General features: G+C 51.8%; 1 protein-coding gene across 1 annotated transcript in view, besides 2 other annotated features; it reads right to left on the minus strand.

The window, feature by feature from the left end:
• The window catches only part of SLIT1 (slit guidance ligand 1), a 187,922-nt gene that overhangs the window by 47,122 nt on the left and 113,485 nt on the right, over nt 1-27,315 (minus strand). The window contains exons 5-18 of the mRNA NM_003061.3: nt 20,856-20,927; nt 19,646-19,717; nt 19,009-19,080; nt 18,296-18,459; nt 15,481-15,628; nt 14,928-14,999; nt 14,301-14,372; nt 12,051-12,122; nt 11,162-11,305; nt 3,796-3,959; nt 2,814-2,837; nt 2,531-2,675; nt 1,832-1,906; nt 1,495-1,638 (exon numbers count right to left, since the gene is read on the minus strand). Coding sequence (NP_003052.2) covers nt 1,495-1,638; nt 1,832-1,906; nt 2,531-2,675; nt 2,814-2,837; nt 3,796-3,959; nt 11,162-11,305; nt 12,051-12,122; nt 14,301-14,372; nt 14,928-14,999; nt 15,481-15,628; nt 18,296-18,459; nt 19,009-19,080; nt 19,646-19,717; nt 20,856-20,927 — 1,440 coding nt within the window. The remainder of the gene's footprint in view (nt 1-1,494; nt 1,639-1,831; nt 1,907-2,530; nt 2,676-2,813; nt 2,838-3,795; nt 3,960-11,161; nt 11,306-12,050; nt 12,123-14,300; nt 14,373-14,927; nt 15,000-15,480; nt 15,629-18,295; nt 18,460-19,008; nt 19,081-19,645; nt 19,718-20,855; nt 20,928-27,315) is intronic.
• Nucleotides 5,374-5,473: a silencer, noted in NCBI's record as "silent region_2666". NCBI's record gives its function as "represses an Ori minimal core promoter by ATAC-STARR-seq in GM12878 lymphoblastoid cells {active_cell/tissue: GM12878}" and the evidence as "EXISTENCE:reporter gene assay evidence [ECO:0000049][PMID:35858748]".
• Nucleotides 24,636-25,835: an enhancer, noted in NCBI's record as "BRD4-independent group 4 enhancer chr10:98829552-98830751 (GRCh37/hg19 assembly coordinates)". NCBI's record gives its function as "activates an origin of replication core promoter dependent on BRD2, P300/CBP, MED14 and CDK7 cofactors, and independent of BRD4, by STARR-seq in HCT116 cells {active_cell/tissue: HCT116}" and the evidence as "EXISTENCE:reporter gene assay evidence [ECO:0000049][PMID:35650434]".

Raw genomic sequence — 27,315 nt, forward strand, 5'->3', positions numbered from 1 at the left:
TATAGCAGCCTGAACCCACTAAGGCAGGTATCAATACAACATTGCTTATAAAAAAAAAAAAATAGAAACAGCCTACATTGCCAATAATTATATAATACCTAGTCATTCAAACTGATGCAGAGCACTTTTTTTGTATTAGGAATTAAATGTGGAATGGAAAAAAATTTTAATATGTAATGGTGCTCATATTAAGTTTAAGGAAAAAGCAGGTTACTAAATAAAATGTACGAGTCCATTAGAATATTTCTGTATGCGTGCATGCTTGTATGTATGTATGTGTGTATATGTATGTGTATGCAGGTTTAGAGATATGTAAAAGACTGGAAAGACAGTTGTTTATACCAACAATTAACAGTGGTCATTTCTGGATAGTGATGGGGTATGGGCCCTTCTCTTTTCCTCTGTCCTTATCTAAGTCTTCCTTGGAAAGAATGCAGCTGACTGGACAGCCCCCACACCCACATTTAAGGAATACTAGGTAAGCATAAAGAAAAATGAGGCAGCCTATAGGAACAGCCTGGAAAGAAGGCAATGCTGTATTCACAGGTGAAAACAGCAAGCTGCAAAACATAGTGCATAATAAAATTTGCTTTTTGTAAAATAAAGGAACAAAAATCCACAGGGAGTCCTGTCACACATTCATTTACTTGCTCAGAGACAACTCTACATCCTGCTGCAGATTTGGGACTTATACCTGGGCAAGTGGCTTCCTAGAGCTGTGGTGTCCAATATAGTAGCCACTAGCCACATGTAGCTATTTAGATTTAAATGCATTAAAATAAAATGAAATTCAAAATTCAGTCACTGAGTAGCACTAGCCACATTTCAACTGCTCCACAGCCACATGAAGTGACTGGTCTGGACAGCGTAGACTTGAAACATTTCCATCTCTGTGGGAGATCCGACAGACTGCCCTGTCTATGGGACACGATACACACCCTCAGGATCATCTGAAGAGCCAGCCCTCCTGGGGCAGATGGAGGGGGTGTCCTGCATCATGGAGGAGCAGATGACCCCAGGATCCCACTGAGCTCCAGATTCTGGTCAGCTCAGGCTGGGCTGTGGGTTATGGGATCCTAGCATCTCAGGGACAGTGCAGCATCCCTGCTCCCCTATCTACACCCACTGAATCACCTTGGCAAGGTCATCCAGCCCCTCCTGCCTGCAGCAGTGCCAGCCACTCCTGAACTCATGCTGTGCTCTTGCAGCCTGACCAGAGGGCAATGGGAAGGGACCCCTAGAAGGGTCCACATGTCTCCATCCCTTGAGGCCAACTGGGCATTGGCCCCATGCCCCAGGGTACAAGAGAACAGGTCTCACCATAGAGTTGCCAACTTGATTACCTGTCCCAACACAGTCAGGATCCTCAGTTCTCCCCACCCTCCTGCAAGCTGGGCCCAGGGGAGGGGCTCCTCCAGCCTCTCTCTTCCTTTCCCTTGGCTTTGCCTGCCTCCTGCAGCTGGCCCACCCTGCTCCCCAGCCCTGCACACTCACAGGGTCCTCAAGCCATCCAGACCCCGGAACATGCCGCTCCGGATGGACTCCAGCTGGTTGGCAGTTAGGTGCAGCTCGCTCACAGAGGCTGCGCCCTCGAAGGCCCCATCTTCAATTTCTGACACCTTGTTGTTGCTCAGATTGCTGGGAGAAGAGGCGGGGGGAGGATTACATATGGCCAGCAGCCAGGAGCTCAGGCCCCTCCCTTCCTGCAGGCAACACCCCCACACACAGAGTCCTGGCCCCCCGCCGTGGGAGCTGCCCCCACCCTGGCATTTCCCTTGTCCATCCCTGGCCAGCATCCCAACAGACACCTTCTCGCCAATGGGTAACTCACATTTTCTTCAGATGTGTAAGTTTTTTAAACATCCCAGTGGCCTCCAGGATGGAAATCTCATTGTTATTCAATCGCCTGTAAGAGACAAGAATGAACTTGCACATTCACAAATGATGGACATTTCAAATCCCTTCCAAACTGAGAATATTTGGGACTCAAACAGAGAAGACTCCCAGAAGAATTTATCTGGCAAAGCAAATTGATCCTATTTCAAAGGAAGGCTGGGCCTAGTACTGGGAGAGGATATGAATGGGGATATTTTTAACATTAAAAATGCCATGAAAAATTTACAGACGTAAATGACAGATGCTTGCAGGCATCTATGCACATAGACATATGTGTACACAAATTCATATTTTTAGATAGAGGAATAAAAATAACAAAGAGTTTTGGAATCATGTCCCACAGAATAAGACAAACGCATCGTTGAGAAAAGCCATCCCTGATTCAGGCTGGTGACCTGCCCTGAGTGCCAGAGACTGGCATCTGCTTTTGATGGGTGAGGGGGGCTGTGAATGAAGCAGAGGGCAGCAGGGGTGGGGTTTCTTCCTGCCCAAGCCAGCAGTTGGTATGTCCTGAGCCAGAGGCTCCAGTGGTTCAGCCCCAGACAGGGCTGGACCAAGAAAATCCTGGAGTAGGCCAAGGAGGGTTAGTGGCAGTTAGGGACAGGGGAGGGCTGGGGGGGCCAGGGACCCTCACAGTTCTGCCGTGGACTGGGGGATGCGCTCAGGGATCTTGGTGAGCTTCAGGCTGGAGCACTCCACCACGTTGGCCTCACAGCGGCACTTGTGGGGACAGACCACGTCGCTGTTGCACTCGCTGTTCAGCTGGTAATCCTCCGTGCCTGCCATGAGAGGGTGGGGGCAGAGGCTGAGGAGCCCGGGGCCGGCTCCCAGCAGTTTGGGTCAACCAAGGCCCCCAGCCTGCCCACCCACTACCACCATTCCCGCCAGGCTGGCCTTGGATCCCCCCACTCTCCTACCTGGAATGAAGTACTGCTCTTTGGCTGGGAAGAGAAGCAGAAATACCATAATGCAGGAATCAGCCAGGACCTGCAGTAACAGCCCAGGCCCCAGCCCCACTGCTCAGCTGAAGGCACCCCAGACAGGGCTGAGGAGCCCATCTGCCCAGTCCCTGTGTGCAGAAGGGCGAGCTACAGAGCACGCATGTTCCTTGCCCAGGCTGACACTGGGGGTGTCGCATCCAGTTAAACCTCTCGCAAGGAGTGCCAAAACCATCGAGCTCTCACTCGCAATGGCACGAGGTGGGGACTGTGCTAATTTTACAGGTGGGGACGGGGTACAGGTGGCGTCAGGACCTTGACCAGGATGTAGGCTCAGAAGCTGCCCCACACTGTCCCCAGCCAGATGCCACGTGGACTACAATTGCTAAGGCTGTTTCTGCATCCCAAAGCCTGGAGGAGGCTCCTATCTCACTAAGGAGGGTTCCCAGGCCTCCTGAGTGTCTTAAAAGGCTTGACAACAAAGGCATAAAAGAGAACTGGCTAAAAGTGGAGGGACCTGAGTCCTCCCTCTGGGACCTTCAGCAAGCCTTGCTTCTTCCCTAGGCCTCAATAAAATGAGGTGGGACTGAACTACCATTCAGATCAAGTCTAGAATTTTGGGCCCACACCCTCCAGTCTGGGTTCACAGTAATGAAAGACACCTTTGTGGGAGCCATCCAGGAAACATCAGGGGGTCCCTGAGCAGGCTGAATACAGACAGACAAGCAGACAGGTAGGCAGGCAGGCCGGCAGGGAGGCAGGTAGGTGAACAGGTGGGCAGGCAGGTAGGTGAACAGGTGGGTAGGCGGGCAGGTATGCAGGTGGACAGGTAGGCAGGCAGGCAAGTGAGCAGGCGGGTAGGTGGGCAGGTGGGCAGGTATGCAGGTGGACAAGTAGGCCGGTGGGCAGGTGGGCAGGCAGGTAGGTGGACAGGTGGGCAGGTGGGCAGGCGGGCAGGTACCTGAGCACCGGAACTTCTTGCTCTTGATCTGCCCGATGCGCTTGTTGGCGAGGCGCCGGGGACTGGCACAGCGGGCACCACTCGTCTCGATGGGATTGGTGCGCAGGAAGTCTGCCAGCCACTTGAGGTTACAGTCGCAAATGAAAGGGTTCTGCGCCAGGTGCCTGTCCAAAGCAGGCAGATCAGCTATGAGAAACAAGGGCTGCAAACCCGCGCTGACCTCCACCGGGACAGGGCCTCGTTGTGGCTGGGGCCAAGGAGGCTGCCTGTGGCCTGGAGCCTAGGGTCAGCCACGGGGGGAAAGAGAGAGTGGGGTGAACCCCCAGGGTGCAGCCCACCACCTCTGGAGAGGTCCTGCCAGCGCACTACAGGTGAAGGGTCTCTGCCACCCAGAGCTTCCTGCTGTCCTACTCCCCATCAAGCCTCATTCTGCCCCCTCTCTTTCCACTCACCTTTCCCTCTCTCTGCCCTGGGACATTTCACGAGCACGAGCGGAGACAGGAAGGACCCAGAGGCTGGCCAGAGCACCCCTGGCCTTTCACAGGCAAGGAAGCCAAAGCCCAGAGAGGGTAACAAAACCCAGGACTGCAGGCGCCCAGGCCACAGCCTCTGACCCTCCCCAGTGGCCATGGGCCCTGGTTTGTGCCCTTTCCTTCAGACTCAGGTAGCAGCCTGTCTCCTATAGAGAGGGATGAGGCCAGGGTGGCCAGGCCTGCTGGAGTCCCTGGGCTTCACAGGGAGTCACCATCCCCACCCCAGGCCACAGGAGTGACCTCTCCTTGACCATTTTACAGCTGTCTGTCAACACAAAGAAAACTCAGAAATCATGACTGAGCAGCCCCTTGCTGGGGATTCACTCAGATTCTCTCCCAGGCTGCCTGTGTTGTCAGCAGGATAAATACGGGGATGGTGGCGGGGAGCAGATGGCCGTGATGGGTTGCTGTGTGCGACCCCATGCTGGCATGCCCACGGGTGGGCTCTGACAAACAGCAGGTTCAGACCAGCTACCTCTGAGCCACCACAGCACTGGGCATGCCCTGCTCATGGCTGTACAAACCGAGGCAGCCTGGGAAGAGCATTCCTACACCTGTCCTGGCTCTGGAGAATCGCTTGAACCCAGGGAGCAGAGGTTGCGGTGAGCTGAGATTGTGCCACTGCACTCCAGCCTGGTCAACAAGAGCGAAACTCTGTCTCGAAAAGGAAAAAAAAAGAAGTACGGGGAGACAGAGCAACAGGCCAACTCAAAGAGACTTGCCCTGCCATGGCCACTTTTCCTCCATCTAAGTGCCATCAGTTCAGGCCATCTGACTTACTGGTCTCAGCCCAGGCCCCTGCAAGGGGCTGCAGGACTCTCCAAGCAGATGAGTAAACCCTTGCCCAGGGTCTGTGCCCAGCTCACCTCAGACCTTGGCGGTGCTCTCTGCCGTCCATCACCTCCTGGGCTCTGCCCTCTGGCCCCCCGGTTGGGAGCTGGGTCCCTGCCACCTCTCCTTTGCAGTGTCTTTCCCTATTTCCCACCTGAGTTCTTGCTCCTCTCAGCTCCACCAGGTGGACCAGGTCCCTCCCACCTCTTCTGCATCAAGCTCAACATTCATTTCCCCTTTTAAACTTTCAGTTTGCACAGAGAGGATGTGTTTGCTGATATCCTGGGGGCAGAGTTTGTAGCTAATTTAAAACATACCAGGATTTAAGGACTGCTTATGACTCCTCCCCAGCTGCCCATCCACATCTGGCTGTGCCTCAGTGCCTCAGCCCCTGCCTGAACCAATTGCTTCCCTTTATTACCATCTTGGCAGAAAACTGTGTAGTCAATCCAATTGTGTTGTTTAGGCATGTATTAAAATACTCAAGGTGTGTGGTGTAGAATATCTCCTTTCTAAAAACAGGCTGTGCCAGAAACAACCTATAAAACTTGAACCACCCACAGAGACAGGTGGCTTCTGTACAAACTTTAGTATTTTATACAAATTAGAATTTTTAACAGTTTCAAAGAGCAGGAAGCTGGAAAGAGAGAACACTCAAGAGGAAGAAAAAAAATTCATTTGGGAAAAAATAATCGTGTTAAAGGAACACCCAAAAACGTGCTGCATATGTGGCCACGCAGCTGCCTCCCTGAACAGTTCTGGCAGTGGAAGGAAAGGAAGAGAGGACTGATTCTCAGTGTCTTTGTAGATGTATGCATTAAGGAGTCACAGCTAAAAATCTTTGGAGGCAGAGGCTCAAAAGCATTAGTCATTAGGGAAATGCAAATTAAAACCACAATGAGATACCACTTCACACCCACTAGGATGGCTAGAATCAAAATGCAAAAAAAAAAAAGACAAACAATACCAAGTGTTGGTGAGGCTGAGAATGAGAGAAATTTGGAGCCCTCATAATACACCACTGGTGGGAATGTAAAATAGTACAGCCAAGTGTTGGTGAGGATTAGAATGAGAGAAATTTGGAGCCTTCATAATACACCACTGGTGGGAATGTAAAATAGTACCGCCACTTTGGAAAACACTGGCAGTTTCTTTAAAAAAGTTAAACAGGAATCTACCATATGAACCAGAAATTCCAAAAGAAATGAAAATGTCGGGCGCGGTGGCTCACGCCTGTAATCCCAGCACTTTGTGAGGCCGAGGTGGGTGGATCACGAGGTCAGGAGTTCAAGATCAGCCTGATCAAGATGGTGAAACCCCGTCTCTACTAAAAATACAAAAAGAATTAGCCGGGCATGGTGGTGGGCACCTGTAATCCCAGCTACTTGGGAGGCTGAGGCAGAGAATTGCTTAAACCTCGGAGGTGGAGGATGCAGTGAGCCGAGATCGTGCCACTGCACTCCAGCCTGGGCGACAGAGTGAAACTCCATCTCAAAAAAAAAAAAAAAAGAAAGGAAAATGTTGGTCCACACAAAGATTTGTGAGTGAATATTCATAGCAACATTGTTCATAATGTCCCCAAAGTGGAAACCACCCCAAATGTCCATCACCTGGAATGGACAAGCAAATTGTGGTCTATTTACACAATGGAAAAATTATTTGGCGATCAAAAGGAACAAAGTACTGATACATGCTACAATATGAATGAGCCTCAAAAACGTTATGCTAAAGAAATAAGTCAGTCACAAAAGATGGCATATTGTATGATTCGGTTTTTTTTTGTTTGTTTTTTTTTTTTTTGGAGTCGGTCTCAGGCTGTCACCCAGCCTGTGTGCAGTGGTGCAATCAGCTCATTGCATCCTTGAACTCCTGGGCTCAGGGAATCCTCCCACCTCAGCCTCTTGAGTACTTGGGACCACAGGCATGCACCACCACACCTGGCTAATTTTTAAGAATTTTGTGTAGAGGTGGGGATCTCACTATGTTGCCCAGGCTAGTCTCAAACTCCTGGCCTCAGGTGATCTGCCCACCTCAGCCTCCCAAAGCACTGGGATTACAGGTGTGAGCCACTGCACCTGGCCTGTATGATTCCATTTTTATGAAATGTTCAGAAAAGGCAATCTACAGAGAAAGGAAATAGATCAGTGATGGCCAGCAGCTGAGTCTGGAAATGGGGACAAGGGATTTGGAAGGGAAGGTGATGGAAACGTTCTAAAGTTGAATCGTAGTGATAGTTGAATTCTGGAAATTTACTAAAAATCACTGAATTGTATACTTAGAACAGGTGAACTTTATGGCATGTAAGTTATACCTCAATAGAGCTGTTTCTTTTTTTTAAATGTTAAATCTCTTGGGGCAAGTAAAACTGCAGCAAAATCAATGCTGTTACACAGGGACTTCGCCACAGATCTTGGAGCTACGGACAAATCAAACATGATTTGGTAAATTTAAATCTGCTCAGGTTTAATAAAATAAGACTCAGTCAAGAAACTGAACCACTTGAGGTTGTAATAATAGTACCTGATAGTACCTTGGATTTCTATTTCTTTTATTCTTATTCCAAGTTGTAGTTCAGTTGTTAACATCTAATAGATGTGCATGAAAGTTCAGTGTTGCTTTACAGCCTTCAATAATGAGCTCTGTTCTTACAGAAAAAGCACAATTAAAGGGGCAGCTAAGTAATTTCTTGGTGATGGCGAAGAGATGCCTGAGATCAAATTCCTGTTTTACCGGATGTTCTGCAACATTGGGTGTGTCACATAACCTCTCTCAGTCTTTGTTTTAGGTAAAATCAGGATGATAAAGCACCTACCTTCATAGCATCACTGTAAGTATTAAGATAATACATGCAAAGAACAGTGGCTCACATGAGTCTCTCATTCCCATTCCCCATCCCCAAGGTTTTCCTGTGTGTGAGTCCCCGGCCAGTAAATCTCCTTAGCATGTTTCTCTCAGACATTCTGCCAGCTGCTTAAAATAGTCCACCTTGCCAGTGTCTCCCTGTACCCTCTAATTTCACATACTTGGCAAGGTTTCCCCATGGGGCTTCCTCTTTGTCTCCCTGGCTATAAGTAAATTAATTGGGAGGAGTTGGGCTGCAGGCAAATTTGTGGGCTTTAATGAGTTTGTCTTTGTGGCTGACATCTCTGGTGATGTGCAGAGTCCCCAGGGGTCACGAGCTGTACCTTTTACTCAGCCTGTTTGGAACCTATCCCAATACCCCATGTAGATGTTATCTGATGAAGAGCACTGCCTGGCATAGACAGGGGCAGGGATTACAGCGACAACAATGGACACAATAATATTAATAATTAATGCTCATTAAATGCACACCACAGAACCCACAAGTCAGCACATCCTGCCTAACTGCAGGCTCAGAATTAAAGATGTAGATGAAGGGGACCATTTAATTGCCTAAGTTTAACCACACAACAGATGAGAATTTTCCTTACGTGGAAACATTCCAGTTAAATATAAGGATTCTGTTTTAAAGCATAGTCACAACTGCATTAGAAATGAAAAAAGAATGTTAGAATTCTGATATGGTTTGGATGTTCGTCCCCACCAAACCTCATGTTGAAATGTAATCCCCAGTGTTGGAGGCGGGGCCTGATGGGAGGTGTTCGGATCGGTGTTCGGTGTTTGGTCGAATTTGTATCAGTCTGCTTTTGTGTTTCTATAAAGGAATACCTGAGACTAGGTAATTTATAAAGAAAAGAGGTTTACTGGGCTGAGAGTTCTGTGGGCTGGACGAGTATGGCACCAACAACCGCTCGGCTTCTGGTGAGCCTCAGGAAGCTTACAATCGTGGCAGAAGGCGAAGCAAGACTAGGCATAAGAGTGGATCCCTCATGAATGGCTTGGTGCTGCCCTTGTGATAATGAGTGAGTTCTTACTCTGAGCTCATGCAAGATCTGATTATTTAAAAGAGCATGGCACTCCCCCTCCCTCTCTTGCTCCTCCTCTTGTCACGTGACGTGCCTACCCTTGCTTCGCCTTCTGCCATGATTGTAAGCTTCCTGAGGCCTCACCAGAAGCCAAGCAGATGTTGGTGCCGTATGTGTACACCCCATGGAACTGTCAGCCAAGTAAACCTCTTTTCTTTATAGATTACCTAGTCTCTGGTATTCCTTGATAGTAACACAAAAACAGACTGATACAAATTCAAAATCACCATTTCAGGATTGCTAATGAATTAATGGGTTCAAGCACTGAGATCAATGGCTGTTTTTATTACAAAAGGGAGACAGCCAGACATCTGTCTGCCTTCTGACGGGAAGTCCACAATCCCATCTATAAAATCATCTTGCCAAATAAATCAATCAAAACTGAACCTGACCGAGCTCCTAGATCCAATTTTCAATCTGCAGGATACAGAGAAGACAGAGGAACATGTGAAACTACACCACAGGGAAGCAATCAACAAAGTCTAGACCCTACAGAACCAATGATGCAGTGTCTTCAACAAATCAGTTACAAGGAAAAGAGAAATGGAGAGGACACATAGATAAACAGCAACTTAAGAGGTACATCAACCAACATAAACCAACATCAGCCAGTTATATTGCACAGGCTTTATTTAAATCCTGATTCAAACTATTAAAAAATTGCATAACATTCCGGGCGTGGTGGCTAACATCTGTAATCCCAGCACTTTGGGAGGCCGAGGCAGGTGGATCACGAGGTCAGGAGTTTGAGACCAGTCTGGCCAACATGGTGAAACCCCATCTCCATTAAAGATACAAAAAATTAGCCAGGCGTGGTGACGGGCGCCTGTAATCCCAGCTACTTCAGAGGCTGAGGCAGGAGAATCACTTGAACCTGGGAGGTGGAGGTTGCAGTGAGCTGAGACTGTGCCATTGCACTCCAGCCTAGGTGACAGAGCGACACTCCAGCTCAAAAAACAAAAAACAATCAAAAAAATTGCATAACATGTAAGAGACACTTGGAAATTTCAACACTAACTAGATACTCAATGATATTAAGGAATTAATTATACAGGATTGGAAGCTGGGTGATGAAAACTTGGGGGTTCACCATACATAGCACTCTGTTTTTTTTTGAAACAGGGTCTCTCCGTTGCCCAGGTGGGAGTGCAGGGGGTGTGGCCACATGTCACTGTAGCCTGAACCTCCTGGGCTCAAGCAATCATCCTACTTTAGCCTCCCAGGTAGCTGGGACTACAGGTATGTGCCATCATACCTGGCTACTTTTTAAAAAAAAATTTCTTGTGGAGATGGGGTGCCCAGCCCTGTTACCTAGGCTGGTATTGAACTCCTGGGCTCAAGCAATCCTCCTGCCTCAGCCTCCCAGAGTGTTGGGATTAGAGGCATGAGCCACCATGCCCGGCCCACAGTACTACTCTTAATCTGCTTATAATTTTCCACAATAAAATATTACAACAAATTACCAGATTTATTGCTCTCTAATTTTTTTATTCACAGTCACCATTGTCATTACCGTATTTCATCTGATTTGACATTATGAATTGTAAGAGGCACTACTATTTTTTGTACTATCAATAAAGAACAAAATGCTGCCAACTAAGTGATGTACCACTGATTATAACATGCATCCCAGTTTCAGAGCTGTTAACGTGGAAACAACATGTGTCTTAGAATCAGCGCGATATATTATCATCATCATCACCATCAATATTATTGTTAGCTAAAGGCAGCATTTATCAAGCACTTGTGATGAGCTAAGCTTCATACAAACATCCTCCTTAATCTCATAACAACCCTATGGGAAGGCATCCCCATCTTACGGATAAATAAAAATGAGGCCCAGAGAAGCTGCCCAGAATCACACAGCCAATAAGAGGCCTAGGTGGACTTTGAACCTAGGACGGTCTAACCCAGGTCTGTGTCCTTCCTCTGTAAGAGGCCACCCCCAGTGAGCACAGCAGCCCAGAGCCGGAGAGCTGCCTGTCCCTGGAGGCTGCAACCTCCCCCAGGCCCACCTGCTGGGAGGGGAGAAGAAGAAGGCATCAGGGCACTCACAGAGTCTGGATGGCCCGCAGGGAGGTGAAAGTGCCCTTGGCGAGGCTCTGGATCTTGTTGTCATACAGGGAGAGCAGTGAGAGGTTCTGCAGGTCCTGGAAGGCATCGGGCCGGATGCAGTTGATCTTGTTGGCATTCAGGAGCCTGTGGGCAGAGCCAGGACCAAGTGGTGAGGAGAGAGGCTCGACCTGAGACCCATCTCAGGTCCTGGGCACCTTCTTCAGTCCCGGCCTGCGTTATTACAGGGAGGAGCCCATCGGAGCAGGCCCAGGGAATCTGCCCTCTGGATGTCTGCCCCACGGAGAGGGGCCCGGAACTCCGACTGCCTCCTCCATGCATAGGGACATCTTGGTCAACCCACTCGTCTCTCTTTCCAAGAACTGCTAGAGATGCCCTGTGGGATTCCGGGAAAGCAGAGAGCCACCTTGTGAAGGCATTTTTGGGGGGGGCTCCTCCTCCTTCCCAGAGGTCCATTGGGTTCCCCAGGCAGCTGAGTTGGAGCATTTGTGTTCTATGCCTCTTGAGCCCTGGGAGACAATCCCTGCCTGAAAGTTCATGGTTCAAGGAGGCCGAGCTGGCCTGGGTGTCCCCCCTGCAGGAGAAAGCTCTGTCCCCAGCCACACCAAGCTCCTCAGGAGCACGGGCCGAGTCTCAGGAGCCTCTCTGCTTTGGCATCCTGTGAGCAGCTCTGAAGCTGCCTCTACCTCCTTCTCTAGCCTCTGCAGAGCCCTGGAGACTTTCTCAGCCCTAGTGGGTCTGCCTGTCTTCCAAGCTCATTGTCTCAATTGAGTCCCATACCCAAGAGAGGCCTAAAGGGACAGTCTAGCAGGCCAGAGGAAAGCTGGCCCTTCCCTGGGTCCCACCCAAGACACCCAGGATTCGTTCTTACAGGAGCTGTAGGGTGTATAGGCCTCCAAACACACCACGGGGGAGGTCTGTGATCTTGTTTCCATAGAGGACCCTGGAGAAAAGGCAGCAGAGAGGAGGGTTAGAGGACAGCCCACCAGGGCAATAGCACAACTCTGCAGACGGCCCCAGCTCAACAGCGCTGCCCCTAAGCCATTTACATGGAGCACATCCTAATGGTGTATATTTGTTATAGCAACTTGTCCACAGATGACAGTAAAGTGTCTTAAGAAAGCGTTGCCTGCTTCTTGGCGTAAAGTGCCCTATGGGCTAGAGATGCCCCTGACTCCAATCACTAACAAAGCAGCTCCTGCTTCACCGCCCTCACACGTGGACCCCACAGAAGGCTGCAAAGGGGCACTTCCTGGGAAATTCATCTGGTCCAGAATCCAAAAGGAGATTGTTGAGAGAAGAGAAAATCCCATGGGCAGGAATAATTAACATATTTTCAGAGAGTTACAGGAAAAAATAGAATGCCAGACGGCATATGCAGTGTGAGATCCGGATGGTGGGACTTCAAGCATTTTTTTTTTATACTTTAGCATTTTCAAAGTTTTCTGCATTGAGCATGAATTCCATGTATAGGTTTTTTAAAAAAACAAAAGTTCAAAAAAACACATGTAGACATGGGTGGGTTCAGGAGGACAGTGAAAACATCCAGGAGGTTTGGGGAGGGGGGTTGTATGCCATTCCCAATATCATAATCGGACCCCACAAGCTACCCTCGTAAACGTTCAAGCTGAGTAAAAAATCCTGGGTACTTCCTCTTCAAACATGGCTTCAAGGTCATTCCTGGAGTGAGGCACAGCAACAGCAAAGGCCCTGCAGTGGGAGCTGTGTGTGCCTGTCGTGTGTGGACAGGTGACGGGGCCAGTGTGGCTGGAATGGAGGGAACAAATGGGACAGTAACTTGGTCTTTACCCAGCCAGCATCAGGAAGCCACTGAGACAGCATCAGATTCCCATTTCAGAAACACCCCTCAAGCTGCTGGGTGGGAAATGGAGCAGAGGGGGCAGGAACTGAAGCAGGGAGGCAAGGTCAGGGCTGGCCGAGGTAGACACTGTTGATGGGGTGTACTGGAATCATCCACGTTCCTATATGCAGGGAGGTGGCTGTGACCAGGTACCCATGAACAACAGAAATCCACTTGGTTGGGTTATTCACTTTTACCTTTTTAGACTGCCATGTTCCAACTTAGGAGAGCTTTATTCACTTCTCAGAGGAAGGGCCCTGCATTTTGGCAGGCCACCTTCAGAATCTGATCTCCTCAGCCAATGACAACGATCCCTCACCAGGCTATCATGTACAGCTGTGTAGGGTGTACACTGCACAACTTCAGGGGTGCCATTCATAATTGGCCCCACCCTCTACTTGGACTCTGCTCCAAGAAAAGATGGCATACACAGAAGGCACTGAGCTGGCAGGCTCCTGCACTCCCCGGGGGAGTTCTATTCCGTTGTACTTGCCAGGCCTCTAGTCTATGCCAAGCATGAGTCCTGTGCTGCCAAGGAGCAGGTGAAAACACTCATCCCCTAGAGTAACAAATGGCCCCTCCTACAGGGAGCTCGCCCAACTCCAGGGCACCCTGAGTGTGCTCTCTGTACAGACAAAGTGCTGTAGGACCTCGGGTAGTGAGGCCCTTGGTGAGTGGGAGAGGGAGGTGCTTCACTACCTTTTGTATGTTTTATTGACAGACTTCCCCAGTAGATCCTGAAGGAAGGGAAATACTGAAGGAGGAGCGGGCAAACACTGTCCTAGCAGCACCCACCACATCTTGGGATTCATTACATTTGGGATAAAAGATAGCAAGTTGTGGCAGATGTCACAACTGGAGCTGGTGCTCACTGGCCCTGCGGTGACTGCAGAGGCCTCAGGAGCACAGCATGCTGGGCTTCGGGCGGGGGACGGGGCCAAGATGGTTGTGCAAAGAATGCTGGGAAAATCCTCACTGTGGCAGGGAGTGCATCCCAGTTGCCAGGGGCAACAGCTCTGCCTAGCTTCTCCACACTTCTCCCGCTCCCAGCGTCGGAGGGTCCACCAGTGAGGAAGAGGGAGCTGGAACAGCAAACCCTTTGCAGCCAAAGGATGACCCACTGAGGCTGGGGTGGGCAGGGGCTGTGTGGAGGGGGGCATAGCCCTGCTCCTCCTCCTGCATCCACCAGGACCCTGGGCCCTGCCAGCCTCCTCAGGGGATGCCCTGGGCCACTGAGGAAGCCTTGGCACTGCTACTCACAGCGAGTTCAGGGAGCGGAGGCCCTGGAAGGCGTCGGGTGCAATCTCAGCGATCTGATTGTTGCTCAGGTCTCTGCAAGGTGAGCAGAAGGAGAGGGGGCATCTGAATCCCTCAACAGCCACTAAGCCCTGCCCAGTCCCCTCCACCTCCTAGATGTCACAGGAGCAGGGTGGAGTGCTTTGAAATGAGAATAGTGAGAGGCCAGATCTCTCCTCCATTTGAAAAGCCCATGGCCGCTATTTCCCTGTGCAGTCTGAGGGCTGGGCAGGAGGGGGCACTCCAGCTTGGGAAGTTATGGACAAAGCTTTCCCATGCATCCTGGCAGTCTCCTAGCCCCCTCCCATCCTTAATTGCTCCTATTGGTACCCAAGCTGAAACGGGAGGATGACAAGCAGCTCCCATCACAGGCCAGGCTCAGGCTCAGCACTCCCTTCAGGCCTCACGATAGCCCTGCAAGGAGGTCCCCGCATCACAGCCAAGCAGCCTGAAGGGCAGGAAGGTCAGGTGGCTGGCCAAGGCCACTCAGCTGTGGGGGGCTGAGTTAGGGCCTGCCCCAGGGCTGTGGGACCACCCAGGATCTCCGTCAGCCCTGTACCAGCTCCCCAGGAAGCAGTGGGAGGCACTCACATCCTCCGTAGCTTTCTGTAGGGTGAGAAGGCTCCAGGAGGGATGGACTTGATGCCGTTCAGCTCCAGGCGTCTGCGGGGAGAAAAGAGAGGGGAAGCCCAAGGGCCCAGGTCAGCCCAGCCCTGGGTGTTATCTGCTGGGCTCACCTGCCCTGAATAATCCTTTGGCCCCTCTTGCCCCTGCTCCCTTCCCACTTCCAGAAGTTGAAGTCTGGGGTAAGGACGCCGGGACAGACAGAGAAAATGCTGACTTGCGCTCCATTATCACAGGCATTTGTAGCTGAAAGGGGCCCACAAATGATGCTGAGAACCTGATTCTAGCAGACTCACGCAGCTGGGTGGGACCCCAGAGGGACACTCCCTCCCCAGCCCTCCAGAGTTTCCCAGCCCTGGACACAAAGCTCAGCCCAGCAGAGGCAAACTGTGTCTTCTCTACGGCCACTGAGGGGTTGGGGCAAGCCCTGAGGCAGCGCCTACTCCAGCTCTTCACTGGCCCTCCAGAGCCAGGCCTGCCAAAGGGCTGTGCCCCAGCATCTGCCCTGCCCCGTACTCACATCTCCGTCATGGTCTCGGGCAGGTTGGCCGGGATGGCAGTGAGGCCTTTTCCACGACAGTCCACGATGCCATTGCTGCAGGTGCACATGGCCGGGCAGGAGCCGGAGGACAGGGTGCAGGTGGGCACGCGCCCCGCTTCTCCCTGGCCTGCAGAAACAGGGGGGTGTGGCCTCAGGCTGTCATGCATCAGCACCTCCCTTGAGCCCAGATACCGACTGATGGATGGGATAGGGTGTACACTGGCAGTTTCTCTCGATAAGGATGAACCAGAGGGGATCACTAATGAAATAAGATTCTGGACTTTGATATAACTCTGTGGGTGCCTGGCACACAGCAGGTTCTTGTCAGATGTTTGCTGAACTTGAATCTGAACTGAACTGCACTGGTGTGTGATTCATACACTAAGAAATCCTGGCCTAGAATTCTGAAGCTCTGGATTCTAGTCCAAGTCACTTAACACTTCTGAGCCTGAGTCCCCTCATCTCTCCCATGAGGGTGATAATGTTTCCTAAACACTCAAGCACTTACTGTATGCCACATGCTATAATAAGTGCACTACATGCAGCATTGCATTTAAGCCTAAGAGGAGCCTATTATTGTTGCCATTCTACAGCTGAGAAAACAGAGTCCTCGATATTAATTAATTTGTAGAAATTCTCACAGCTAATAAGTGGTAAAACCAGGATCCAGCCCAGTGTCTGAAATAAGAGCCTTTGAAAAAATGGAGGTATAACTTATACAAAGTGTTCTTTCTGAAGCATGTAGCTGGTGGGACCACTACCTAGACATAGAACATTTCCATTACCCAAGAAGATTCCCTCCTGCCCCTTCCCCAAAGTAACCACCATTCTGAGATCTATTGCCAAAGATTTGTTCTGCTCGTTTACGAACTTCACATAAATGAAACAGTAGTTTCTCTTGTGTCTGGCTTTTTTGCTTAATATACAATCTTTGAGATTCACTATGTTGCTGTGTGTATCAGTAGTTTGTTCTTTTTCATTGCTGAGTAGTATTCCATTATATGGATACATCATAATTAGTTGGTGGATATTCAGGTTGTCTCCAATTTGGGGCTATTATGGAAAAAGCTGCCTTTAATATTTTTGGACATTTTTGCAGAAAAAATGCACACACCTAGTAGGAGTTGGAGGGTCACAGGGTGGACAGATGTTGAGCCTTAGTGGATCCTGCTAGACAGTTCTGCAGAGTGGTTGAGCCAGTTGATACCCCCACCAGCATTCTAACTTCGAATATTTTCCATGGCTGCCCCAAAGGGTGGGCACCAGGACCAAATGAGACAAAGCTACATGGATTCCTGGCATATTGTGACAGTGGCCTTCAAAGGAAAAGGGTTGCCAGGCTGATCAGACTCCAGAGGAGAAACTCATGTCTGAAAATAGAAACCACGGTCTTCCAAATGCAAAGGAAAAGGTTTCATTTCAAAATAAAAATTGTCCAAGTGATTTACCCATTCCAATTCCTAAAAACTGTGGCAGCTGCAATGATGCAGAGGCAGTCCTGGCTCACACAAGAGACATGCACACAGGTTTTCGCACACAGGCACACACACTCATACGCACATCTGCATGCACACACACACACAGCAGTGCAGAGCACAGCGGTGTTCAAGCCCACCCATTGCACTGGGTGTCTGCCAGTGCAATGGAGGAGGTGACAGCCACAGCCAAGAGCCTCACACTGAGGAGGGGAGGCTGTGCCTAGGAGATGCTTTCCTTCAGAACTCTGTGTGGCTGGCAGGCCCAGTCCACGGGTTTGGGAGAAACAGTCAGCCTCTAAATCCTCTGTCACAAATCTGAGAACTGTCCCTTCATTCAGCAAGTATTTCCTGTGCCAAGCAAAGACAAAGTGCTGAGGATGCACCAGAAACACAATGCGGGACCTCATGTAGGATCACAGAAGGCTCCCTGGGCCCTGCCCTGCAGGGTGAGGAGGAGTCGGCAGGCAACAAAGAGGGAAGGGTGTGTCCAGCAGGGGAGCAGCCTGTGAGGCCAGGGCTGGGGGCACCTGCACCAGGAAGGGGCAGAGGCAGGCCAGGCACAGCTGGGGGAGCTGCAGGCAGCAGGAGGCAGGGGAGGCAGCGGTGGCCCTGGCCAAGCTTGCAGAGCCTCAGACTCTCGACACAGTGCTGACGGCCAGGTGAGTACACGAGCAGTGACCTCCCAGACTTGCGGGTTCTTTTTGGTCTTCTGGCTGTAGTATAAGCCAGGGGCCAGGGAGGATGTAGGCAACCAGTCAGGAGGCTATGACAGAACCCCAGGGGGAAGGTGAAAGGGTGTGGGCTTTGAGGCCCACCTCTTTTGGAGCCAAGTTTAGAGGGCCTAATTCAACGACTTGTCAAGGCAGCAGAGGTGAGGCGATTGGAGGATGGAAAAGGGGGTGATAGCAGTGGCAAGGAGCCCAGAGGACATCGGAGGAGGCACTGAGTAGACCAGAAAGAGATCGGGGTGGAACAAAGAGGGTGATGAGTGGACAAGGCAATGAGGGGACAGGAGGGAAAAGGAGAGGAGGCAAGAAGTGACATGCAGAGACAAATGCCATGGTGAGAATGGGAGGTGATGGATGGGGCAGGAGGAGCAGACAGTGGAGTCAGGAGGTGATGGATGGGGCAGGAGGGGCAGATAGTGGGGTCAGGAGGTGATGGGCAGGGTCAGGAGGTGATGGGTGGGGCCAGGTGATGGGCGGGGTCAGGAGGTGATGGGCAGGCCAGGTATTAATGTCGAGATTAGGGGCGGGAACAAGAGGCAGGGCAGGAGGCGCCGGACAGTTGAGAGCCCGGCAGGGGTCTGCACCCACCTGAGCAGCTGAACTCACTCTTCTGGACCTCTGCCACATTGAGGCCACGCAGGCTGGCTGGGCCCGAGCACTGGGTGAAGAGCCCGATGGTTGGCCGCTGCCTCAGCCACTGCGAGAGCCAGGCCAGGTGGCAGTCGCAAAACAGGTGGTTGGAGTGCAGGCGGCTGCAAGAGGACAGGATGGCTCACAACCCATCTGGATCCCCCAGCCCAGCCTGATTGTGGGAACCCCAATCTCAGGCAGGAGGCTGCCCCCGGTGCTGTGTTCAAGCCAAACACAGTCTACATTTAGTCAAGTAGACGGCTCAGCTCCAACCCGGGGATTATCCACAGCCCCGTGAAGATCCCGCTGCTGCCCCTCCCCTCCCACATGCTCTGGGCACAGCTGGACCGGAATGTACCCAGCAAAGCCCAGGTCATCGCAATGACCTTGCACAGGCTCACTTCCCCAAACCACCTGGCTCATTTTCAAACACAAAAACAAATCATTTGTTTTCCAAGGAAAAACCAAATTAAGTGGCATTGGATGCCCTGCAACCGTATAACTCCTTCCGCCTCCGAGAGCATGAAGCCCCCAGCCTGGGCTGGCCTCTGGGGGTCTGAGGGAGAATGAGCTCCATGACCTGTCTGCAAAACCTTCACCTCCTGCCCCACCCACCCCCTGGCATCAACCGGGCTTGGCTGCCCCGCTCCCAGCTGCCCCGGCTGACTCACAAGGTCCGTAGCTTGGGCATATGGTTGAAGCTGGACACGGGGATGGTGGTGATATTGTTGTTGTTCAGGGTCCTAAATGGGAAAAACCAGAGTCATTTAGCACCTGCCCAGCAGGAGATGATGTGGGACAGGGCCGCCCTGCTAACGAACAGGGAGGCTCTCGACCTTAAAGTGACCAGCACGGGGCTGGACATGGAGGAGCTAAGCCGAAGAGCATGAGGCATATCCCACCCCACAGGAAAGCCCTGAGCTGGGACGGTGACCGTAAGCCGACAGCACCATAGACTCCAAGGCTGGTAGGATAGGGAGATGGAGCAGGGCGGGTGATGGGACGCGTCCCAGGCTTGGGTTGGCTTGGAAGAAAGGTGGGGTTTGGATAGGTAGGGAGAAAGGGAGAAGCATTCCAGGCCAAGTGCCAGAAACCCTTGGGTTTCATCCTGAGCAGGTTATACTGGGGCACACTACTTGCTGCAGGCACAACCCCATGAGTGCCTGTCCTCCCCTCCTCCGAGGTGATTCTAGGAGGGCAGGTCTCTCCCTTCCTGTCTCCCTGATGCCCGCTGCCTAGGCTGCGGCACTTGGCACCTGCCTAGCAGGGCCCTCCACACCCCTCCTTCCTTTTCCATGCTTTACTTACAGCACCTCCAGCCCCCGCAGAGCACGGAAGGCCCCTTCCTCAATGCAGCTGATCTGGTTCTTGTCCAGCTGTCTGTGAAGCAAAGGAAGGTTGTAGAGAGAAGGGCACATTGCCTAGAGTAAGGGTGTCCAAACATTCTGACCGCGTGCTCCATTCATTCAAAAGAGGTGCACCCCTAGCCGTTTGTTATGTGTATATGTGTCAATCCAAATAGCGAACATTAGTAAAAACTTAAGGGTTTTTTTCTAATTTTCAGTTAAAATCATAAATATAAGTAAAAGTTATATTCTTCTACTCAACCTTACATATCCCCTGGGGAGCAGGCACCCCCCTACACACACACACACACACACACACACACACACATTTTGGAGACCACCTAGTGGGTGCTGGCAGCTGGAAAATGGGAGAGTCACAAAGCAGTGACATCCAGAGCTGGCAAACAGACCTCAGCCTGAGTGCCAAAGAGGTTGACTAGAGGTGGCTACCTGGAGTGCTGCTGTCAGAGTAAACTGAAGCTGTGAGGTGAGCTCTGTGGGAAAGAATGTGGTGACTGATTATCAATGTGTGCCACAGGCGAGGTTGGGGGTGTGTGTGACAAGCATGCCAGGCATTTGCCATCCCTGCTGTAGTCAGACTTCAAGGAGGTGGTAAGCCTGGACCAGAATACATTTGAATAGTAATAATAATAAGCCATTACATTTAAATAGCATTTGACAAAGTGTATTTATTTCCATGTTTCATTTAAACCTCAGAACATGCCTGTGAAGTAGATCTTAGTATCCCCATTTTCCAGAACAATATATCGAGGCTCAGCGATGTTCACTGACTTGCAGCGGCCTTATGTATGTGTAACTAGAAGAGAAGATTCAAACCCAGCTCTCCCAACCCAAATATGAGGCGGGCACAGACACTGTGCCACCTAAATGGACTGAGAACATTGCCCACGCTGATAACACGCTTCACCAGGTCCCCAAGGGCCCCCTCCGTTGGCTCTCATATGGAATCACAACCAAGGGAGAGGCAAGGGCTGCCTGTTTCCTCCAACCCCAGACTATTCCAGAAGACCATGCTGGCACCAGCCCTCTGAGAGCCCAGGTCAGCTCCCTGGCTGCCTGGACCACACGGCTCGCTCAGGGATACCCTGAGGATGCTGCCAGGAGTGGCCCTGGAGCCCCCACACCCTTCTCCCTCCCAGGCCTGTACTCACAAATTTTTAAGGTCCGTAGCTCCCCGAAAAGCTTTCCTGGGGATGGCCTGGATGGCGTTCTCACTCAAGTCCCTGGGAGGATAAAGCCAGAGGGAGAGAAAACACCGGTCAGAAAAGAGGTTCCTGCAGAGTGCTGTGATAAGTCAGGGAAGCAGGGCAGGTGGGCTGGAGGGCACTGAACCAGCCACTGCTGCACCCCAGCACCTAGGACAGTGCCTGGCCCACAGTGGCCACTCAGCAAGCATTTGTTGAATGAATGAATGATGGAACTGGAGAGACACACCATGTCCTGGAGGGAGCTCAGTCCCCAGCCACCTCCCCTTCTCTGGGCTCGGGGCTTGCAGCTGGAAGGAGAAGCCTGGGGCAGCTACGATCAGCCCTGCCAGACCCCACCTGATGTAGTTTGGATATTTGGCCCCGCCCAAATCTCGTGTTGAATGGTAATCCCCAGTGCTGGAGGTGGGGCCTGGTGGGAGGTGATCTGGTCATGGGCACTGATCCCTCCTGGCTTGATGCTGACTTCTCGATGGCATGTGAGTTCCGGGAGCTCTGGTTGTTGAAGTGTGTGGCACCTCCCCCTCCATTCTCCCTCTCCTTCACTCTCCCACGTGAAGTGCCTGCTCCCCTTCAGGCTTCCGCCATGAGAAAAAGCTCCCTGAGGCCTCCCCAGAAGTAGATGCCTTTGCTTCCCGCACAGCCTGCAGAACCGTGAGCCAAGTCAATCACTTTTGTTATAAATTACCCAGTCTCGGCACTTCTTTATAGCAATACAAGAACAGCCTAATGCCCACAGAGGTCAGCCCACCAGACCCACAGAGGCCAGTTCAGCCCCCCACAGCATCGTGCAGGGCGCAAAGGGGCATACAACAGAGGTGCTTCTGGAGGGGGATTGATGACCACTGTCTGGCACCAGGTGGGAGGGATGGCACCCTGGGCTGGCTGTGGTGGGTGCGCCTGGGGCTTACGCTCTGTGTCTTATGCTGAGCAAGCTGACTCAGGAAGGACAGAATTGGCTCCGGTGACCCAGTTGGCCAGTAGCCCACCCAGATCTTTAGCTCCAGGCAGGGCCTGACTCCAAACCCTGTGCTCTTGTGGACTGCAGGCAACAGGGCACCTCCGAGAGCCTAGGCCACAGGGAGTCAGGAGCACGCAAGGGGCTGGGATCACTGAGGACTTCACACCTCCCCATGAACGCCCTGCTGCGAGGGGAGGGGGCGCTGTCAGGACTGCAAATCCTCAGCCTCAGTGACTGCCAGGCCAGCTTTGGGGCCCTTCCTCCACTCCCTGTCAGGGCCGGGCCTCTGACCTGTCCACCTGCCTCTCTTCCCTCTCAGCAGCCTCCCTGGCATCCACAGACGTGTGCAAACGCCCCTTTCCAGGTCAGCTCTTCCTACTCACAGCCACACTCCCCCCAGGCCAGCACTGCCTGAGTACTTCCCAGGAGCGTGGCGTGGATACTATCACCATCCCCATTATACAAAGGAGAAAAGGGAGGCTCAGAGAAGCTAAGCAACTTCTTCAAGGTAACCCAGCTGGTGGGTGGTGGCTCCAGAATTTGAACCCAGGCATTCAGGTCCCAGAGCCCTGGCTTGTGCGGCAGCCCTGGGGGTAGGAACTGCCATTGCGCCCATTTCACAGAGGAGGGAGCTGAGCTCTGAGATGTGAAGTAACTGACCTGGTTGGACCCGGGCTCCCTGCCCCAGAGCCTTGCCCCAGACACACCGGGGTCCTGAAGGTGAACAACCAGCGGCAGACCGTCCTGACATAGGCCCCAGTGCCAGGCAGTTCCACAGCCCCACCTCCTCCTCCTGGGCCAGGCCCGTGGGCTTTGACGGTGCCCTTCCTTTCAGCCCCTCACCCCACAGGGTCCGAGAACACAGCCCACAGCCCCCTGCCCCGCCGCACACCGCCCCTTGAACTGTCAAGGCCGCCGCTGCCCTGTCTGGGTTTCCCTGGTGAGAAACCCAACGGTGTGCACAGAGCCCTGAGTCAGAAAGGTAGGAGGCAGGTGGGCTCCTACTGCCTACTAGAACTGTGAGAAGGCACTGGACCAGCTGCTGCTGCACCCCAGCACCTAGGACAGTGCCTGGCCCACATCAGCCACTCGCCAAGCATTTGTTGAATGAATGAATGAATGAATGAATGATGGAACTGGAGAGATGCACCCTGTCCTGGAGGGAGCTCAGTCCCCAGCTACCTCCCCTTCTCTGGGCTGGGGACTTGCAGCTGGAGGGAGGAGCCTGGGGTTCGAGGCCTGGCCCTCCCCCTCCTGGCCATACATCTGCAAGGCACCCTTCCCCTCCCGAGCCCAGTTTCCTCATGTACAAAATGGGAAAAATGAAAGCCTGGCAAAGCAATTGCCTTCCCGTCCCCACAGAGTGGGCACCAACATCTATGTGCTCCCTCCCCCAAACCCAGCCCCTCTGTCCTGTCCCCTCACAGCCTTTAGAAAAGCAGCCAGGCACCCGTGTCTGAAGGGGCCTTGGCACCATCAGTGCCCCTCGTTCTTGCTCTCTATTGCTCTCTCTCTCCTGGATGTAGGCCCCATCTCCTGGAGGGGAGATGGTTCAAGCCTGCAGCACAGACACAGCTGTCCCTCCTCCAGAGCCGTCCCACCTGCTATCCCTGAGGCATCTCCCCTTCTTGTGGGGGAAGCTTCCTCCTCCCGCACTCGCCCGGCCCCACCTTCCCTTCCTGCTCTCCCCATGGCATCTTTCATCTTCGATCTTGGTTACTTGTGCCATATCGCCAGCTCCCCAGTGTAGTCTGTCAGTATTCCTGGAGACATTCCCCAGATTCCGCCCATTTAGGCTACTCCCCAGAGGGCCCCCAGTGGCCTACTCCCCGATGCCTGTCTTTATGCAGCAACTCCCCCAGCCCCATATGTCTTGAGAGGCTCATTTCAGTCTTTGCCTGCCTAATCCTTGTTATCATCTCTTCCTTGCCTAGAGAGTTCCTTGGCTGCCACATCCTCTTCTTAGTGTCTCTGCTTCATATAAGAAATTGCTACCCTGGTGGTGCCTGCCCTAATGGCTTGATGGTTCTCCTGGTCTGTGGACTTGTGGACTTGTTCTCTCCATCTTCCTAAGTGGGATGCTGCCACTGGGCAGAGTGGGCTGGCAGGGAAATTACTGGATTTAGAGCAGGGCTGTACAGGCCACACAGGTAAACAACAGACTGCCCACACTGGAGCTCATGGTCATGCGAGTTCCTCAGTAACCAGGAGCCCAGGCTGACATGGGAGCCCAACATGAAACCAAACTCACCTTGATGGAGTGCCCACAGGCACCAGTGACCGGGCTGGGCTTGTGGATGCAGAGCTAACCACAGGTGCATGGTCCACCCTAGAGCACTCATGCCCAGAAGAGGGCACAGATGGGAAACCAGTGAGTGGACCTTCAATCCTTCACCCCAGAAATGTGTACTGAAAGCTGATGGTCTGCTGGGGACCCCCAAAGACTTGCTTTCATGGGGTGTACATGCCAGCTTTCAACAATGGCTGGAGGAGCAGTACTGCCAAAGAGATGGGAGAGTGCAGAGAAGTGAGTGAACAAGTCCGCTGGAGGGAGGAGAGGTGATCTCTGACCGGATCTTAAAGAGTTGATGTGTCCCAGACAGAAATGGAAAATGAGGAAAGGGTGTTCTAAGCAGCGGTAACAGCATGTGCAGAAACCCAGAGACAGGAAGGAACAAGGCAGGCTGGGGGAATCTCATGTGGTTTCGTATGACTGGTGTGTGTACGTGGGAGGTTGTGGTAGTTAAAAGACATCCACAAATTCTTTGACATTCCTCCCTTCAAAAGACAGAGGCTCATTCTCTTCCTCCTGAATGTGGGCAGGACTCAGTAACTTACTTCTGAAGAACCACATATGATGGAAACGGTAATGGATAACCTCCGAGACTAGATCATAAAAGACACTGTAGCTCCCTCCTTGTTCCTTCTGGGTTTGCCCTCTCTGGGAGAACCCAACCCAGGTCATAAGGACACTCAAGCAGCTCTCTGGGGAGGCCCACATGGAGAGGAACCGAGGCCTCTCGCCAACAGCAGGCACAGGCTTGCCAGCCTGTGAGCCAGCCATCAAGGAAGTGCATTCTCCAGCCCCAGCCAAGCCTTCAGATGACACAACCCCCCAACATTGTGATGCAATCTCATGAAAAACCCCAAGCCAGAACCACCCAGCCACCTACAGAGACTGTGAGATGTTTATTGTTTGTTCTTGAAAGCCGCAGTGTTTTGAAGTCATTGGTTACGCACAATTGATGACTCATCCAGCGTTGCTTTGAGGCATGACCCTAAGGAAGGGAGGGGCATGCTTAGGCTCCAGGTTAATGGGCTGAAATCATGTTAGAGACTTGGCTACATCACTTCTTTTTGGGGGCCTCAGTTTCCTCATTTGTCCAATTCATAGGCTGGAGCAGAAGATTTCTAAGCTCTTCACCAGTGCAGACCCAACCACATGCCTGCAAGACACATTGCTATGGTCTGAATTATCGTTTCCTCTCAAAAAAGGCATAGGTTGAAACCTAATCTCCAATGTGATGGTATTAGGAGGTGAGGACTTTGGGAGGTGATAGGTCATGTGAGCTCCATCCTTATAATAGGATTAGTGCCCTTATGAAAGAGACCGCAGAGAGCTGCCTTGCCCCTTCCTCCGTGTGAGGACACAGCTAGAAGGCACTGTCTATGAAGCCGGAAGCAGCCTTCACCACACGCCAAATCTGCCAATACCTTGATCTTGGACTTCCCACCTCTAGAACTGTGAGAAATAAATTTCTGCTGTTTATAAGCCACTTGGTCTACGGCATTTTGTTTTTGTTTTTTTAGAGACAAGGTCTTGCTGTCACCCAGGCCAGACTGCAGTGGCACAATCATAGCACACTGTCACCTTGAACTCCTGGGCTCAAGCGATCCTCCCCACCTCAGCCTTCTGAGTAGCTGGGACTACAGATGCGCTGGGACTACAGATGCTCTACGGGTGGAGACAGGGTCTCATTTTGTTGCTCAGGCTGGTCTCAAACTCCTGGCCTCAAGTGATTCACCCACCTCAGCCTCCCAATACAATATTTTGTTATAGCAGCTGGAACAGACTAAGACACACATCAAGTGAGGTGGTTGCTTCTTTAGAGGATTTGGGGTCCCAGAAAGGAGGTGAGGAAAGTTGCTGGCCATACACCTACTGAAAGACGGGGTCTGGGGAGAAGACAGACACAGCCTGCCACCTTTGCTGACCCACAGGGACTCAGGGAGATGAGAGCATGTGCATTAAGAGCCAGATGGAGGCAGGAAGGAGTGGTGGCCTGAGGACGTCCACAGAGTCAGGAAGGCGGGACCTCCAGTGGGACCCTCATCTCAGCCCAGCCGACCACTCACCCTTTGGCCAAGCCTGGGAAGGAACGCTGGGCCGGCACTCACATCCATTCATTATTCCATTTAATCCTCACCACAACCCTGCAAGGAAGGTTTTTTTATTCGTATTGATTTGCTTATCGATTTAGACCCAACCTTGTTCTAGAAAGCCTTTAAGGTGGCTTATAGGGATTTTCAAAACAGCAAGAGAGCAAGAGTGAAAAATGAGGCACAGAGAAGAGGAGGAATCAATGGCGGGTACTAAGAATGCATGCACCATGTGACCACATGCCAGGCTGGGCTGAGCGGGGCTCTGAGCTTTCTCACTGAAAGCCAGCGTGAAAGGAGAGCCAGTCAGCTCACAGCGCCCACGGGACACGTATAAGTCTAAAAGGATCAGCTTCTCAGGAGTACAGCTGGTGTGGCACTCAGATGAGGCAAGAATTTTCCCAGGGGTGTTTATTAAAAATGACAGTGTAGCCTAATCAATAACACTAGATCCTTATAATTAATGGGGTTTGAGTGTCTGTTTCTTATAATAGCATCAAAGTACAATTCAGCAAATGCATTTCTATAAGGACTCACACCAGGAACTAAGTAGGGAAGAGGAAGAAGGCAGAGGCAGACTCCAGGTAGGCCCAGTCTATGCAAAGACGCTGGGGCATGAGAGAGCCTGGTATGACTGGGGAGGAGCAGAGGCTCTGGGAAGCAAGTGTCAGCTGGGAGAAGCCTCACACAGGCCGGGGAGAGTGATGGGATAGAACAGAGAGGGCTGTGATATGACCATCTTTTTAATTATTTTGTTTATTTATTTAGAGACAGCATCTCACTCTGTCACTCAGGCTGGAGTGCAGTCACTCAATCACAGCTCACTGCACTGTTGAAATCCTGGGCTCAGGTGATTTTCCTCTCTCAGCTTCCTGAGTAGCTGGGACTACAGGCGCATGCTACCATGCCTGGCTAATTTTTTAAAAAATATTTTTGTAGAGACAGGGTCTCACTATGTTGTCCAGGCTGGTCTCAAACTCCTGGGTTCAAGTGATCCTCCCTCCTCAGCCTCCCAAGTAGCTGGGACTAAAGGCACGGGCACTGTGCCCAGCTCTGACCATCTTT

This window comes from Homo sapiens, chromosome 10 (assembly GCF_000001405.40).
Source record: "Homo sapiens chromosome 10, GRCh38.p14 Primary Assembly".
Classification (NCBI taxonomy): domain Eukaryota; kingdom Metazoa; phylum Chordata; class Mammalia; order Primates; family Hominidae; genus Homo; species Homo sapiens.